At 36.3% G+C, this 19580-nt stretch overlaps 1 pseudogene, besides 1 other annotated feature; it reads right to left on the reverse strand.

The window, feature by feature from the left end:
* Positions 4544-5084: an enhancer, noted in NCBI's record as "NANOG hESC enhancer chr7:88228721-88229261 (GRCh37/hg19 assembly coordinates)". NCBI's record gives its function as "activates a minimal SCP1, AML or CMV promoter by ChIP-STARR-seq in naive H9 embryonic stem cells {active_cell/tissue: H9 hESC(naive)}" and the evidence as "EXISTENCE:reporter gene assay evidence [ECO:0000049][PMID:30033119]".
* On the reverse strand, positions 15378-15806 carry SLC66A2P1 (SLC66A2 pseudogene 1; annotated as a pseudogene).

A 19580-nucleotide genomic window follows, 5' to 3' on the forward strand; every position in this document is an offset into this window, starting at 1 on the left:
AATTGAGGAAGAGGGATTCCTCCCTTATTCTATGAAACCAGTACTACCCTGATATTAAAATCAAGCAAGGGGACAACAAAAAAGAAAATTACAGGCCAATATATCTGATAAACATAGACGCAAAAATCCTCAACCAAATACTAGCAAACAAATTCCAACAGCACATCAAATAGATAATTCACCATGATCAGGTGTGTTTTATCCTAGGGATGCAATGATAGTTCAGCATACACAAATCAATAAATGTGATTCACTACGTAAGTAGAAGTAAAACAAAAACCATGTGATCATCTCAATAGATGCAGGAAAAACATTTGAGAAAATTCAGCATCCCTTCATGATAAAAACCTTCAACAAAGGCATCAAAGGAACATATCTGAAAGTAATAAAAGTCACATATGACAAACCCACAGCCAGAATCATATTAAATGGGGAAAAGCAGAAAACATTTCTCCTAAGAACTGGAACGAGAGAAGGATGCCACTTTCACCATTCCTATTCAATATAGTACTAGAAGTCCTAGCCAGAGAAATCATTCAAGATAAAGAAAAAAAAAAAGGCATCTAAATTAAGAAAGAGGAAATCAAATTATTTCTGTTCACTAGTAAGATAATCTTATACCTAGAAAATTTTAAAGACTCTGTCAGAGGACACCCAGATTTGATAAATGACTTTAGTAAAGTTTTAGGATACAAAGTCAAGGTACAAAAATCAGTAGCATTTCTATACACCAACAAGGTGAAAGCTGTGAACTAAACTAAGAACTCAATACCATTTACAATAGCCACACAAAATAATAAAATACCTAGGAATACGTTTAACCAAGGAGGTGAAAGAGCTCTACAAGTGGAACTACAAAACAATAATAAAGAAGTCATAGATGACACAAATGAAAAAAAATCTCATGCTCATGAACTGGAAGAATCAATATCGTTAAAATGACAATACTGCCCATAACAATATACAGATTCAATGCAATTCCTATTAAATTACTAACAATTTTTCACAGAGTTAGACAAAAGCAATCCCAAAATTCATATGAAATCAAAACAGAGCCTGAATAGCCATGGAAACCTTAAGCAAAAAGAACAAAGCTGCAGGTGTCACATTACCTGACTTCAAACTATACTACAAGGCTATAATAACCAAAATAGCATGGTACTGGTACAAAAGTAGACATATAGATAAATGAAATAAAATATGTACCCTAGAAATAAATCCACATACCTACAACCAAGTGATATTTAACAAAGTTGGCAAAAATATATTCTAGAGAAAGGACAACCTATTCAATAAATGGTGCTGGAAAAATTGGATAGCCATATGCAGAAGAATGAAACTGGACCTCTATCTCTCACTATATACATAATTAACTAAGATGAATTAAAGGTTTAAATGTAAGACCTGAAACTAGAAAAATTCTGGAAGAAATTCTAGAAAAACCTCTTCTGAACATTGGCCTATGCAAAGAATTTATGACTAAGACCTCAAAAGCAAATGCACCAAAAACAAAAAAAGACAAATGGGACTTAATTAAGCTAAAAACTTCTGCACAACAAAAGAAACTATCAACACAGTAAAGAGACAACCTACAGAATGGGAGAAGATACTTGCAATGTATGTTATCTGACAAAGGGCTAATATGCAGAATCTATAGGGAACTCAAACAACTCAACACCAACAAAAATAACCCCATTAAAAAGTGGGCAAATAACGTGAACAAACACTTCTCAAAAGAAGACATACAAGAAGCCCAAAAACATATGGAAAAATGTTCAACATCAGTAATCATAAGAGAAATGCACATTGAAATCACAATGAGATGCCATCTCAAACCAATCAGAATGGCTTTTATTAAAAAGTCAAAAAACGACCAGTGCTGGTGAGAATGTGAAGAAAAGGGAATGCTTATACACTGCTAGTGGCAGAGTAAATTAGTACAACCTCTTGGAAAACAGTACAAAAATTTCTCAAAAAATTGAAACTAAAACTGCCATTTGAACCAGCAACCCCACTTCTGGGTATATAACCAAGGGAAAAGAAATCTTTATATCAAAAGTACAACTGCATTGTATGTTTATCACAGCACTATTCTCAAAAGCAAAGTCACAGAATCAACCTAGGTGTCCATCAATGGATGATTGGATAAAGAAATGATGATATATATACATTATGTAATACTACTGAGTCATAAAAAAGAATGAAATCATGTATTTTGCAGCAACACAGATGGAGCTGGAAGCCATTATTTTATGTGAGATAACTCAGAAACAGAAATCAAATGCTCATTTATAAGTGGGAGATAAAAAATGGGTACACGTGTACATACAGAGGGGAATGACACACACTGCAGACTCCAAAGGGGAGGGCAGAAGCAGAGTAAGGGTTGAAAAATTATCTACTGGGGGCCGGGCGCGGTGGGTCACACTTGTAATCCCAGCACTTTGGGAGGCCAAGGTGGGTGGATCACGAGGTCAAGATTGAGACCATCCTGGCTAACACGGTGAAACCCTGTCTCTACTAAAAATACAAAAAAAAATTACCCGGGCGTGGTGGCGGGCGCCTGTAGTCCCAGCTACTTGGGAGCCTGAGGCTGGAGAATGGTGTGAACCTGGGAGGCGGAGCTTGCAGTGAGCTGAGATCGCGCCACTGCACTCTAAACCTGGGCGACAAAGCGAGACTCTGTCTCAAAGAAAAATTATCTATTGGGTACACTGTTTACTAATTAAGTGATGGGTACACCAAAAGCCCATACCTCACCACTACACAGTATATCCATATAACAAACCTGCCTACGTACCCCCTGATTCTATTTTTTTTTTTAAAGAATGACTCTAAGTTTTTTGGTGTGAGCCATAGGAACGATGATAGTACCATTCCTTGAGAAGGAGAATAGTCATGAGGAGGATGTCTGAGGAGAGAATAAATAATTAATTTTGGTTATAATACATATAAGTTGGCTATTGTATATAGAACATGTGCAACTAATGCAACTGTTATTTTATTTACAGAAATCTATAGTTCAGGAGATAAATCATTGCTTAGTATACAAATATTGAGTTTTCATTGAACACATATACTTAAGCCATGGGATTGGGTAATATAGAGATGGAGACAAGGATAGGGAGGGAGGAAGGGGAGAGAGACAGAAAGATGTACCTGGGTGAAGGGCTTAGATGCAGCAGCAAAGTCATTGAATGAAGAAGGAAAGAAGCCAGGGTATAAGGAGAGTATTTGGATTTACACAGGATAAGGGACAGTGTGTTTTATTAGAATGGGAGAGAAAGGAGAACATTTACATATACATGCAGAAAGGCCAGCAGGCAGATTAGGCTGTGAGAAGATTATCTTTAACTGAGAGGGAGGAGGGGGCGTGGATATTGGCAGTTGGAATTGAGAGAGGTTCTGAAATAGCATTTTGGTTTGTGGGAGAACCAAATTACTTGACACATGCTGAGAATTGACTTGAGATTTGTGCTTAAAAATATTAGATAAACTCGGTCAGGAGGGTTGAGTGCTTTCCTTCTGCCATTCTCTGATGCTCAGATGCAGGAATGGATTAGCCAGACAGTTGGATTTAGCCTGAACTCACATTCTGTCAAGTGGTTATCATAGAGAAAGAAGAACAAGAAAGCGGAGGGGATATGAAAAGCAGTGATTAGCAATTATAGGGAACATTCTACTTTATCGTGTAATGTGAAAATGTATGATGTCCGTCAATATTCCTACACAGCACAATTTATAATATACCCAAAATGTCCCATCAGTGCATAATCATTTTTGATGGGTGTCAAAGTCAACAGTCTCATTTTTTTCTAGTAGAACTCTTCCCACCTTCAAACATGTAGAATATACTACAATAAGTTGGGATTGCTTTTTCTGTGCTTACTTCAATAAACATTTATGGACTATCTTACTAGGTACCAAGGGCCTTTTCTCTACAATCAGGTTAACCAGTGACTTTTAAAACTGATTGTTCTTGATCAGGACAAAGTGTTTTTCTTCAGTGCAGAATCTGGCCCTGTGAAAAATCCAGAAGGCATGCATTGAGTGGAAACCATTGAGGAAAATGCTGTTACTGTCTTGGAAAAGAAAACTGCCCCATTAGACCCACCAGTGTTCTTTTTGGGTTAGTAGGTGCCCCTGCCTCTGTTTTTCCTTCTCAGATGCAATGAATACTGTTCTGTGGTTGCTGCAGGAAAGCAAATCATACTAGAATAAATCAAATCCTTAGCAATAGACAAAGAGATTCACGTTCCTAGCAATTGATGATAGGATAATGTGTGGCTGACTTCATAACATGGCGGCAGTCAGGCAGAATGTGCCAACTGTTATGAAATAAAATGTAATGAGCCAACTACAAAAATAGGTTTGAACACCGCAATGTAAGGAAAACAGGAGGCTGAGAAGGGAAAGTGGCAGGGCCATTGGAAAGCCACACATTCGAGCTTCCATTAGACTTGGCTGAGGATGGGGATGTGTTTGATGGTAGTAGTGTGAACTATTTAAGGATAATTTAAGTCGACTCAGGTTTATTTAGGTGCTTTTTTTCCTTTATGTACTAGCCTGCCATTATGAATAAGGATTCTAATATTTTAGAGGGTCTTTTGCTTTTATAACCAAAATTACTAACTCTTTTAGGCCACTAAGAAAACATTTAACTGATTAGTGTTGTTGAGGTGAAGCAAAACAGCCTTGAATGCCTGTTGACCAAAAAGAAACAGGGCTTTAGCTCCCTCTAAAAGTGATCTGAGATGTGGACAATCATTGTATTTACTTCAGTATTCCATTTGGCTAACGGCACAGCATGATATTTCACGGCCTGAAGGTAGGAGGAAAAGTCTCCGCATAAAGAAGGCAATAAACAGCTAAGGAACTAGGAAGCTCTCCTTAATCTCCCTCTGGCAAACCAAGTAAGGTGGATTGTAAAAGCCTGACTTGAAGCCACACTGTTTTGAATGTAAAGACAAGGCTCAAATGTTCTTAATTCACTCCCAGGGAGCACTCAATCCAGCTGACTGTAACATAAGGAATTTAATAAAATAAAAGCAAGTTATCTAGTCAAACCTCCTGCTGCATTTTTTATAATATCAAAATGAAAATAGGCTTAATTTGTTGTTGTAATCAAATTCATTACAACAGCCAAACATGTTTTATGCTGTTCCCCCCTTGGATATTGTATTGCTGCTGATAGTATGAATTGGAAGGGGGTAAAATTATTCACTTGTTGAATGCAAATTAATTCATGGCACTGAGGTATCATTCACCAAACCTCACAGGTGGCAATTTATAAAATAGTCATTTCAAAATGGAACCATAATGGCTAGGCTGAGTTTTTTCTTTATTTTAATTTATTTAATAAGGAGCATTTTATTTTTGTTTAATAAAGAGCTCACTGGACAACTTTATATGAAATCTTATTGTAGGTCCAACATAAGGAGCTGTTTATCCATGCTGTCACTCTAAGTGCAAAAGGTTAGATTCCTAATTATCAGATAATTACAATATATGATGCTTTTCTGCTGCTATGTGGGCTTACCTAGGATGATAAAAGTGTATCCACTGCGCATGAGGCTGATAAATGAGACAAAGTGAGCACACAAGCAACTGAAGCTTAAAGAACACAGTAGATAACAGAAGAGTGGCAGATTAAAAGAGTTATGAGAGTTCAGATGAGTGAATTCAAGCTGTTCCTTAGCTCTATTAGTGTTACATTATCCCTTTTAGAGAATTTAATTTTTGCCACTTCCTACATGTACTTCCTACATGGTGTATATTTCTCATCTCTCATTTGCTTTTTTGAAGATTGTAATTAGCGAGGTTTCATTAAAAATAAGTGAAGAAGTAGAATTAATTCAGGCAATTAGGCTGGCTCATTGGGGCTGTGCTAAAGATAACGAACAAGCTGATACGTGTAGAAAACATAAGGGAAAGATATATGCAGAATAGGGAGTGATTTGTACATGCTGTCTTCTAAACTTCCCGAATGATGACAGAGCAGGGGTTGGCTAAAAAATGTTAAGCATGAATAAGGTACTGACATACTGACAGATAGAAAATTACTTTTAGTACATAATAAAAACCATCTGTCAAGACAGAAGATTTAGAAGACTGAGAAAATGGGTGGGACATCCGCATAGATAGATGAATAAGTCACATTGTGTGTCTATAGAATGACATTTGATGATTGTTACTTTATGCATTAGCTGATGTCCAATTGAGGAAAGAGCAACCTCAAAATAAAACAGAGATACAGACTACAGCCAGCTTAGCATTCTGTGAGGTGAGTTCTTAACTTCTCTAGTCACTTGTCTAGGCATCCTGGGGAGACATTTGTTTGGACTTGCCGCATTGTAGGTTGTATGTGTGTGTGTGTATGGTGGGAGATGGAATGTGGGTGTCTCTCCTTCAAGCCAATGAGTAAAATTAAAAGATCATCTGTCTGCCGCCTTCCTCTCCCTCCTTATATCCCTCTATTTTGTGTTGTGGTGGTGTTCTCTCGGTAAATAGAAATGTAGGACACTGATTTCAGAGGAGCCTTCCTTTGTCTTTGCTTCGGTTCTTAAGTAGTCTTGGGATAAAATAATCAATTATTTACCCTAAACAGGGCTTTTGAAAGTCAAAGCTCACATAGAATTTTAGGATTTGGATTAACAGAGGAAGAAGTGACCACAGAGTTGATTTGATGAGGAGAATAGAATAGTGTATGTCAGCCAAGACAAAATGTAGCCAAGTTATCAGGAACCCGTAGAGTACAGATGGTCTCTGACTTACCGTGGTTTGACTTAGGATTTTTCAACTTTACAATAGGTTTATTGGAATGTAACTCCATCAAAAGTCAAGGACCCCCTTAGGACTTATAATGGGGTTATTGTTTCTACTGAATGTTATTGCATTCACATCCATAAAATTGAAAAAATAGTAAGTCAAACCATCCTAAATAGAGGATGGTTTGCTCTGTTGCCAGGATAAGGTGCATTTTCAACTTACAGTATTTTTTATTTACAATGGACTTATTGGGACGAAACCCCATTGTAAATCAAGAAGCACTTATGCTTTGAATATGAAATAGAAATAATAGGTCTTTCTAACTCAACCTCCGAGTACTGCTATTCAATTGTAAGCCATCAGCACACTGACAGAAGGAATTGCAAGCACAGTAGCCTTATCAGCTATATGGGAACATTTACTCAGTAGCTCATAATCTAATAATAATAATAATAATACCATATATATCTATGGAAATTTAAAATATAAACCAATCTTTCACATATATTATTTTATTATTTTGAACTATATAGTAAATTTATATGGCAGGAAAACTACAGCCACTATCCCCTGGTTACAACTCATAATCTGTATGAAACAATATCAGCCCATATTATATTGGACATCAATAACTAATTTATTGTCTTTGTGAATATATCTGTAGCACTGTATTTTGTAGGATTAGGAATGCCACATACTATTCTGAAAACCAAAGAGTGAAGACAGCAATTAAATCACACAGGAAAACAAAGCAATTAGAAAGAGAGCTAAAGTTAGAACTCAAAACTCTTACTCTTATTCTGATGTTTACAAGAAAGATGGTTTCCAATAATTATACAATGTAGAAGTATGAGCTTCTGTGTATACATGGTAGACTATGACCATTTCCTTCTCAATTCAATATTTAACTACACATTAGCATAAGACACAAGTTAAAATTATCATTAACTTCCCAGTCAGTGTGTACATTCTTGTTTATAACTTTAAACTATTTCATTCTAAAAGAATAAAAAAGACCAGAGGCAGCAGCAAGATTTAACTGGACATATTTTTAGGTAAATGATGCATTCTATTTCAACATTTTCTGTTTTGTAATCAAAACTCCATATCAGCACTTAAAATATAAGGGTATTAGATGAATGGCATAGAACAGATAAATTATCCTCAGGTGCCCTTTCTGGCATCATAAATGAGTCATTTTAGAAAGAACTTTTTATATCAAAGCTTTTACAAAGAGCTAGTTCAGGAAAACATTTGGTATTTATAATAACTAGTATTTCTAAAACTGCAAAGCCCACGTTATATTAAAAAAAATTCTCACTTCTCAGAAATTTGAAGAACCCCTAGAATGCTAAATGCAAAGCTATTTTAAATAGTGCAACAGACCAGCAGTGAGAAAAAGCTGTAGCATGTTTCAGGAGATAGGAGTGATTACAAGCTCTGGGCCTATCACTGTCTAGTTGTATAACCTTGAGCAGGAAATGATGTCTCTAAACCTCAACTTCTTCATCTGAAATAAAAAGGAGTAGGCTAGATAACATGTAAACACCATTTCAGCTTTAATAATCTCTGGCCATAAAACCTATATTTTATAGTATTACTTGGCAGATCAGAATCCTATAAAGTAATTTGATTCCCTCAGCAGCCTGTGGATATAAATAAGTTTATTTTAGCATTTCTGCTCACATTTCACTGAGCATTGTTTCTTTTACCTTTTCACAACAGACTTCAGTCCTCTGAAAAGGTCACCTTTGTATTTCTGGATGTTGCTAAGATGTCTTACATATGCCTGTGGATAAATCTCAGCCTGCCGAAGCTCTTCAAGCTTTGCTGTTGCTCTGATAGCCAATTGCCACCCTGTCCAGTTACTGTCTCCTGCAATTCCTAACCTGGAGACCCATGAGGGGCAAAAATCATGCTGTGTTTCTTGTAGGTGGGGTGTCACTGCATTAGAAGTAGTTTAGAAACACCTTTTCCTCAGGAGGCTTTGGACTCACCCCATGGGGCCTGAGCTGTGAAGGCTTCTTCATTTTCCTGTGTCTGTCTTTTACGGCCACAGAATCCATGCATAAATATTCCTCACTGGTTCCATTTCCTCTTACACAAATCAATGTATGTAGATTCCTGAGAGGTTGCTGACCCCATAAAAGCAATCTGAATTTGGACCAAGTCAAGGCCTTCTCTGGTAGTTGTGTCTATTGGTGGGAACTAATATTTTAAAACAGTGGATACACCCCCTGCAACAAATTCTCTTCAGTCCTCCTAATAAAAGGGAGAAGCATCTAACATGAAGAAGCCTGCACTCAGATTAGAAGTGTCTTGTTTTGGAGTCATGTGAATTTTCCTTGTTTTAGGGTCATGTTAATGAAAGAGGTTCTTTCATTTAAGATTTACTGTTAGGACACCCTAAATTTTATAATCATTATCTGTGGTATGGGGTTGCTGCCAGCAAGTAAGTGCTTATAAATGTGACTTCAATTTCAAAAAAGAGAACGTAAACTTCTATAGCAGTCAGTAAGGTGTTGTGGAAAGACTGAAATTTTCAGTCAGACGTGTGAGATCAAATCTTGTCTGCACCACTACTATAGAGAAAATTATTTATAGCTTGAACCTCCATTTTCTCACCCATCAAATGGAGATAATAATGCATAACTTGTAGAGCTTCTTTGAAAACCAAATGAGCCAACGCATGTAAAGTGCTCAGTACAGTAAGCTTTAACAAATGTGATATATCTGAAGGGACCCTCTCAATGGTTGGTGATATGGTTTGGCTCTGTGTCCCCAGTGAAATCTCATCTCAAATTGTAATCGCCACGTGTCAAGGAAGGGACCTGGTGGGAAGTGATTGTATCATGGGGGTGGTTTCCCCTACGGTATTCTCGTGACAGGAGCGAGTTCTCATGAGATTTGATGGTTTTATAAGTGTTTGACAATTCCTCCTTCACACTCACACTCTCTCTTGCATGCCACCATGTAATTTGTGCCTGCCTCCCCTTCTACCATGATCACAAGTTTTCTGAGGCCTCCCCAGCCATGCAGAATTGTGAGTCACTTAAACCTCTTTTCTTTATAAATTACCCTGTCTTTGGCAGTGTTTTATAGGAGTGTGAAAATGGACTAATACGGTTTTTTTTTTATTATTATTACTCCCTTGGTATACAGTATCTAGATGATCTAAATATATTATGTGACGTAGACAAAGTAAATTCACCTCTGTGGTCCTTAGTTTTCTCAGTGGGAAAATAGGAAGATCAGCACCAGTGATTTCTAAAGTTTCCTTGAGCTCTAAAATGAATTATCCTACAATTTAAATGTTTAATTCATTTATTTAATGATATTTTCTCTTTGATACCTGTCAAATTCACATTAAAACTATTATCACACTTCATTTATTTTCTAATAAATTTCTGACAACATGAATGAAACCTACAATGTATTTAAGTCTACATAATTCTAAGTGGGATCTGAAGATATGAAATATTTGATTGTGGTTGCCATACATAAATGAGTCAACATACGAAGTTTCCAGGTGCTACTCATTTTTATTGGAAGGTGATAATTAGCTTTATTATGTCTATCTGGCAACACACTATATGTTGTTTCCTCACATAGTTTCATCCCTCTGTGTATCCAGAAATCAACTGAAGCTAGACTCAATCATTTTCTATATGTGCCAGTTGGGTTTAGTTGTGCCTGAAGAGTTTAATTTTGAACATAAAAGGTGACAAAATAGCTTTGACAGCACTAGTTTGACATACATTTTTGTGGAATAGAACCACAACTCAGACCCCTTGAAAATCTGTATTTGTTGCAAAACTAACTAATGCTATTATTTTCCATTTCATTTGAAAAATGTTGAGCAAAATAAATTCCATCATGATATTTCATTGTATATGCATAAACAATGTGGGGATACTTTATCCTTTTTCTTTTCTAAATAAAATATTTAATTTCTGTCTTGGACAATTGTTATCATCTTGCTCTTCTCTTTTGAAAACCTATTCATTATACCCTTGTGGGTTATGTTCTCTCTAGAGTTAATAATTTAAAATAATTTTTCTGCTTAACATTTTCTTCTGATCTCATGGTTGAAAGGCAACAATTTGAATTTTTCTGTTCAAAAAACAAGACTCATGGACTTCCCTTAAAAATAATACTTTTCATCGTTAGTACCATCTTTAAAAATCTTTAGCTATTTACACTTATGTAAAACCACGGAAACCAGAGTGTGAGGAATTGGTAATTTGCACTATTTTTAATTATTATCATGATTGTTGTATTAACTGTTTATAGTCCATATTAATAAAAATGAATGGAGTGGCAGTAACAAATCCAATGAATCTCTGACTGTTGAGACATGGTATTTTGGCCACAAAATTATCATCTTTATGCATTTCCAATGGACACTTCTCACTTGAATATTCTCCTTTTTTATTATTGTTGTTTTTCTACCATGAGATGGTTTCTTAGTACAAGTATCTGCCACATGGTTTCTAGTGTTTTCATGTATATAGTGACAATAGAAATAATGATCATGATCTGTGCCAGTATTGTTATTGCGACTTCCAAATATCTCTATCATATTGCTTATACAAGTTATACACTGATTCTACATTTGCTTTTTACCATCTACATGCAAGAGATTATTGCTTAAAACACATATTTTTCTACTTTTGTTGGTAAAAATTAGAGAAATCAGAAAGTGGAAAAAATAAATATCACCCATAGCTTTATGTCCCTAATGTAGCCACTATTAATATTCACTCTTGAGCAATGTGACTTGTTGGCTTTTGTATAATTAGTGTGGTGCTTCCTTCTCTTATTTTGAAAGTAAACTGCTTAAGGCATTATATATGGCCTTTGGCATTCCTGAAAAACAAATTTTTGATAAGCAAGAATTAATTTTAGTCTAAATTTCATGTGAGAATCTAAGACTAAATAACACTGATTGGAATTTAAAATGATTGACAATATAACAGAATTTTATCTTGTAGAAATCATGTAAAAGGAAAAGTATTATAATATATATAAAGTATGAAACAGATGAAAATATCCTGGCATTTGAGAGCCATTCAAATCCCAGAAGTTATAACTCTTTCAAGGATGCATGTTGACCTATTCAAACGAAAAAAATATCCTGATCCACAACCCAAATATCATATATTCCCTTCCTGTGTCCTGAAGTGCTAAAAAATGCTCATGTTAACATAAATTTTCTTTGCCATCTCCCAAAACTTTATGACCTTTTCCATCCTTGACCTAATTATACAAGACAAATAGAAATTATTTTGACTGAAGGTTTACTTATCTCCTAGTAGTGAATGAAGAGGGTGGATAATCATAAATGTAAAAACTGAGGATAAAAAGTATGTGAAGGAAACAAATTAGGGACAAGTTATTTGCTTTACAAAAGTGGTCATTAAAAATTATTTAAACAAGTCTTCCCTTATTTTCTTTTAAAAAGTATGGTTGAATTTAATCACAAAACTTTTAAAAGCTAATATATAAGATGAGGTATATTGGATTTGGAATTATAGTGCAATTCATTTATAATCTATCTGGTAAGTTAAGTTAGGTTTTATTCAAGAAATAAGTATTGAGTTTATCACTCACACTTTTAAGCAATTTACTCTTGCTCTGTTTTGGGGGGCATTATTTAATACTAATCATATCAACATTACTGACAAGGAGCTGGGGTGTTTTTTAGTAAGATTTGTTTTAACAATTATTTTCTGATAGTGTGGTATTAAATATCAAAAACAACGACAAAGATGCCAAATTGATATTACTTTTCAGAAGATATCTCACAGCTGAAGAAATTGTCTAGAAAAATAACAGTGTCTAATATATGTAGAGAAAATAATGTTATTTTATATTCTGCTTGTGATTATCTGAGTTTGGGGATTAGAAAGAAAAGTTGATAATAGTCCTTGTAAGGAATCTCTTTTTGAAATTTTATCTGTCTTGGAAAAGATAGAATAAACCATATTAATATTTAAATTTCAAGCATATTTTGACTCAAAATGTGTTTAGGAACTAAAGATAATTTTATACTAGTTCAAAAGACCCCGGCTGGAAGAATTTCTCATTTATTACATCTGTCTATTGAAGTCATTGATAAGGTTGTTGAACCAACAGGTCTTAGGAGGAAATACATCAAAAACCAGTAACCATTTCAACTGCTATTTCTGAGGTAACAATACTGGATTGAGACACTGGTTGAGAAAGCAACTATACTTTGATGTACAGTCGTGTATTGCTTAACAACAGGGATACATTCTGAAAAATGCACCATTAGGCTATTTTGTCATTATGTGAACATTATAGTACAGCCTACTACACATCCAGGCTAGATGGTATACCTTGTTGCTCCTAGGCTACAAACCAGTACAGAAGGTTACTCTACTGAATACTGTGCACAACTGTAACACAATGGCAAGTATTTATGTATGTAAACATATCTAAACATAGAAAAGGTACAATAAAAATACCATTATAGGCCAAGCGCGGTGGCTCACCCCTGTAATCCCAGCACTTTGGGAGGCCAAGTTGGGCAGATCACGAGGTCAGGAGATCAAGACCATCTTGGCTAACATGGTAAAACCCCGTCTCTACTAAAAATACAAAAAAATTAGCCAGACATGGTGGCGGACGCCTGTAGTCCCAGCTACTCGGGAGGTTGAGGCAAGAGAATGGCGAGAGCCTGAGAGGCAGAGCTTGCAGTGAGCCGAGATCGTGCCACTGCACTCCAGCCTGGGTGAGCAAGACTCCGTCTCAAAAAAAAAAAAAACAAAAAAAAACCCCACAAAAACACTATTATAAAGGGTTAAAAAAAATGGCATACCTATATAGGGCACTTACCAGGAGCTTACAGGACTAGAAATTGCTCTGGGTGAGTCATTAAGTGAGTGGTGACTGAATGAGGGCCTAGGGCATTGCTGTATACTACTGTAGACTTGATAAACACTGTACACTTAGGCTATACTAAATTTGCAAAAATTATTTTTCTTTCTTCAATAATAAATTAACCTTGGCTTACTGTAACATTTAACTTCAGAAATTTTTATTTTTTTAACTTTTTGACTCTTTCATAATAACATATTAAAACAGAAACATACTGTACAGCTCTACAAAAGTGTTTTCTTTCTTTGATCCTTATTCTATAAGCTTTTTTCTACTTGTAAAATTTTTGTCTTATCTTTTTTTTTTACTTTTAAAACTTTTATGTTAAAACTAAAACACACACATTAGCCCAGGCCTACCTAGGGTCAGTATCATCAATTTCACTGTCTTCCACCTTTACATCCTGTGTCACTGAATGGTCTTTGGGAGAAATAACATGGATGGAGCTGTCATCTCCTATCACAACAATGCCTTCTTTTGGAATAGAAGGACCTTCCTGAGACTGTTTTACAGTTAACTTTTTTTTTAATAAGTAAAATGAGTACATTCTAAAATAAGATAAAAATACAGCATAATAAATGCATAAACCAGTAACATAGTAATTTATTATTGAGTATTATGTACTGTACATAATTATATGTGTGTTACTTTTCTTTGACTGGCAGTGCAGTAGGTTTGTTTATGCCAGCATCCCCACAAACACATGAGTAATGCATTGCGCTAAGACTTTATCATGTCCATGATATCACTAGGCAATAAGAACTTTTCAGCTCCATTTTAATCTCCTGGAACCACTGTTATATATGTGGTCTGTTGTTCACTGAAACATCCTTATACAGTGCATGACTGTATAAGAGTTCTGAGGGATTGTTGTAAAAGTTGTCTGCCTTTAGCATTACGTTTATTCCATTATGGTGATATCTCATAAAATATCTACAATTTACCCTTTAACAACACAAATTTGTGCTGCAAGAGTCTACTTATATGTGGATTTTTTTCCATCTCTGCCACCCCTGAGACAGCAAGATGAATCCCTCCTCTTTCCCTCCTCAACCTACTCAAAATGAAGATGATGAGGGTGAAGATCTTTATGATGATACACTTCCAGTTAACCAACAGTAAATATATTTTCACTTTCTTATAGCATTTTATCTTTTCTTTTTTCTTTTCTTACTGATTCAAAGTCACCACATGGGGATACATGCATTCACCAGTCACCATTCCTGCAATTGGTGACATTTTTCCTTAGAGGAAATGGCCACTACAGATACCTCACTTCATTTAAAAAATATAAAAATTTTCAAAGCATCTTACAGGCCAAAGAGCTGAATAAGATCCTCACTCAAATACTCAAGAATTTCTCTGAGGAAAACTCAGGGGAGTAAACAGCTTTGAAGATTTTCCCACTAGCCACAGTAAGCAACAAACACTAAAGTCATAGAGCTTTAGCGCTGAGAATGTCAACATCTGCATGAAAAGCGGCTCCTCTGGCCAGCAGGAGGGAAGACACCATCTGTGGGAGCCACTCCAAAGCACGTAGAACTCTAGGGCCTAGGGGCCGATGGGTCAGCATAAGGCTGCTAAGCACGGTATGATCTCCTGTTAAGGGGGAGCAGAATATGGGGTGGGGTGAAAAGTGTCAGAACAACAGCTGCAACAGACTCAGAACTGTGGCACCCAACATGCCCAGCAGGGCCAAGTCTTAGACAGGTACCTGACGTACTCTGCCATGCTATGAAGGCCAAGATGCACTGCCTATAGTCCCCTAAACTTCTGGCTCCAGTGCTGTAAGTGGTGGGGCCAGAAGTCTGCAAAGAAGCGAGTTTTGTTCAGCTTATTTGCCACACAGACTTCAGTGCAGAGTTTCAACATTAGCAACATGGTCAAGATCATGATTATGCTCTGCCACAGGAGAGGTGAGTCAAAATGACTTCTGAACCAGAAGAGTATCCGTAAAATATTGGCCACTAGTTTCACTAGACACAAGCAGGTAGAGAAGCCATTGGCATTTTGAGTGCTCCCCACAGTGTACTGCAGGATACATGGGAGCACTCCTCTAAAGACCATGGCTGCAGTTGACTCCAGGAAACCAGCAGGTTCAAGGGCACCAGAAACCAACCCAGCCCACGCACCTGTGCTGCCCTGCTGGATGCCTGAGGTCCACCTGGCAGAAGCCCCTCCATTCTCACAGGCTCCTGCAACTACACACCACAGGCACCTCCCCATTGTTGCAGCTATTCTGTACAATTCTCTACCAACAGGACCCGACACCACCTCCTCCCACTGGACCAGTGCACTCTGCTTGTCTGTCAGTCCTTTCATGCCAGGGACCTTTATGATTTTCCTAACATTTTCTTTTCTCTAGCTTACTTTATTGTAGGAATACAGTAGGTAATACATATAATGTACATAATATGTTTTAAATGACTTTATATCATCAATAAGGCTTTGAGTCAATGGTAGGCTATTAGCAGTTAAGTTTACAGGGAGTCAAAAGTTATACATGGATTTTCAGCTGCACAGGGGTAGGCAGCCCTAATCCTTGCTTTGTTTAAACATCAGCCGTGTATTTTCTCTTTGGATTAGAAAGGTGAGTCCTGCACCAAGCATACGCAATTGACATCACATCTGCTCTAAGTCACGTTGTTCCCACAGAGAGTGTTCTCAGACTCATTAGCACCTTCTAACCTGGGACCAGGGAATGAGAGAAGGTGAAAGGGAATTATGCTGAGGGAGCAAAGATTGAGAAATTGCTGTGGTACAATTTGTCTTTTCCTTTTTATACACATACCGAGTAAATGGACATCCACTGTGAAAACATGCCTTAATTTGAACCCCATAGATTGACTATGAAGAACTAAACCAGACAATGAATTATTGAAATTGGCCATAAGTCATTCTGCAACAACCAAGTGCCCTATAAGGCAAAGTCAAATAAGACATATTTGCCCTTAGATAGCTTAGTTCTACAAAGAAAAATAATCAACTACAATGGCACAACACTGTATAAGTGCTATGATATATAGGTCTCTGAGAACCATGGATGAATTATACTTGGTTGATGAGGAAAGTCTCTGGAGGAAGGTAACACTGGTAAGGGAATGAGTATGGTTTAGGTAGATTATAAATAAGGGAAGGATGGACTTTTCAAAAATGACAGAAGAGCATGTGCCAGGGCCATGGTTCATGAATATGACACTTGGAATTATAAATATTACATCAAAGCAGGAACTCTAACAAGTGACTGTGGAAGAGTGGTGGAGCTGACACTGAGAAAGTTAGTGCCAGGACCAGATCCTGGAGGGGTCTCGTTATAGATGAAGATTCTAAATTTTATCCTGAAAGTTATAGGGAGATACTGAAATCCTATTTAGACCACCATGATTAAAGATATAATCTATTTTCTATAGTAAAATGATAGACATTTCTAGGAAATTACACTTTGCCTTAAATATGAAAAAGTATCCTAAGCTAAGAGACATATTTTATCTTTGTAAGTAATAAACCCTGAAAATTAAAAAGCAGACTGCTACCTTTGGAACCCTTGTTCACAAGTGATTAAGAAAACATTGGTTTTATAAATATTTTGTACATATTTTTATGTAATTGAGTTGCTTCGTTGCATTACTTTTTATTAGTTCATTTTGTTGAAAATAACAATATCGCACTTCAAATGCAAACACACAAAACACTATATGCTATAAATATTTAAAATATCAAAATTTGCAAACATTCCATAATGTGCATACAGATTGTTGTGAATTTATACACGTACACACACCACAAATATATATACATGATATTAAATCCTTTCTTTCCTAAGCATTTGTTAATTTTTCCCTAACTTGTGCTGGCCTATACTTTAGTTGAATTCTTAGTAATTTATTCAGTTGCACTTGATAAATGATTCATGAAATTACTCACATTTTTTATCATTTCAACACAGAAGTGCAATATTGCCCTAGCTTAATTTACTGTATCTAGTAACATTGAGTAGAGCAATAACTACTGGTTAACAAATATTTTAGGCTGCTTTCCATTTCTGTGTAACCTGTTCTGCCTTTGAATTGTCATTATATAAGAGATACATATTACACTAATCTGAGTCAATAAAATGGGAAAAACCTGTAATAAAAATGTGATGAGGCCAGGTGCAGTGGCTCATGCCTGTAATCCCAACACTTTGGGAGGCTGAGCTGAGTGGATCACTTGAGGTCAGGAGTTCAAGACCAGGCTGACCAACATAGTGAAACCCCGTCTCTATTAAAAATACAAAAATTAGCTGGGCATGGTGGTGCATACCTGTACTCCCAGCTACTTGGGAGGCTGAGTCAGGACAATCGGTTGAACCTGGGAGGTGGAGGTTACAGTGAGCCGAGATCATGCCACTGCATTCCAGACTGGGTGACAGAACAAGACTCCGTCTCAAAAAAAAAAAAAAGAGAAAAGAATGTGATGAGTTTGCAAAGTTTGTGCTATTTGGAAAGTTCTTTCATCCAGTGTTTTATAAAGCTGTTTAGTTTATTATTCTAATGTATTTTAAGCATAAATAATAGCTTACATTATTGAGTACCTTTGTTTGAATCATTGCTGTATCACTTACTAGCTGTATTTGAATTTGGGCAAATTTCTTAACATCTCTATGTCTTAATTCCAGGATCTGTAAAAGAGATAATTAGACCAATATTTTCACAGGTTTTGTGAAGATAATATGAATTCATGCATGTAAAAATATTTTAAACAATCATTGGCAGGTAATTAGCACTTAGCATTTATTAGCTTTTGTTATTTTACATTGCAGTTAAATAACTAGGTTCCTCTATCTTGTAGGCATTAGCACAGACACTTGAATCTGACTCTAAATTCATGTACATGTTTGTATTAGTCCGTTCTTACACTGCTGTTAAAAAATACCTGAGACTGGGTAATTTATAAAGAAAAGAGGTTTAATTGGCTTACGGTTCTGTGGACTGTACAGGAGGCATGACTGGTGAGGTCTCATGAAACTTACAATCATGAGGGAAGGTGAAGGGGGAGCGGCACATCTTATATGGCCAAAGCAGGAAGAAGGGTTGGGGGAGGTGCTGCACACTTAAGAAAAAAAAACAACAGATCTCCTGAAAACTGTATCATGAGAGCAGCACTAGGGGAATGGTGCTAAACCATTAGAAATCACCCCATGAGCCAATCACCTCCCACCAGGCGCCACTTCCAGCATTGGGGATTACAGTTCAACATGAGATTTGGGTGGGGACACAGACCCAAACCATATCAGTGTGATAGATTTTTCTCCAACCTGTAATATTATCATCTTTTCCGTTTGCTTCACTAGCAAAAGATTAGCTCAATCTTTTGTCTTCTGCTAAAGTTTTGTCTGAACACATCAGCCCACAAAGCTGCTTCTTTGTTAATATCTTTTTGACATATCTTTTTTACTAGATTATATTAAAATCAGAGACTTTTAGGTTACCCAGTCCCTTGCAAGGTATGTGCTTGGTTAATAATTCTCTCTCTCTCTCTTCATCGTCATTCTATGAATGATAAATTAGGTTACCTGGATCACAGAACCGTTGAGTGAATTATTATGCAACTTATCTAACTCATTCTACGGTGTCAACTTTGTCAGCCATAACTCACCCATCCTTCACTTGGCATATTCAGTCACTATTTTTATTCAGGTTTTTGTTGTTGTTTAGAATCTTCAGGTGCCTGTGCCTCTAAGGTTATATTGAAAGAATTACTGAAATAACATAATTTCTTAAAGTGCTACAAATGATATGCACTGGCCTTTTCCTAAATCATCTACTTGTTCTAGAAAAATTCAAATTTGATTGGCACGATTTTCTTCTCTAGGAAAAAAGCAGCTTTTAACTATGGAAAGCAAAAGCTTCATTTACTGGGTATCATTA

This window comes from Homo sapiens, chromosome 7, assembly GCF_000001405.40.
Source record: "Homo sapiens chromosome 7, GRCh38.p14 Primary Assembly".
In the NCBI taxonomy this organism is placed as follows: domain Eukaryota; kingdom Metazoa; phylum Chordata; class Mammalia; order Primates; family Hominidae; genus Homo; species Homo sapiens.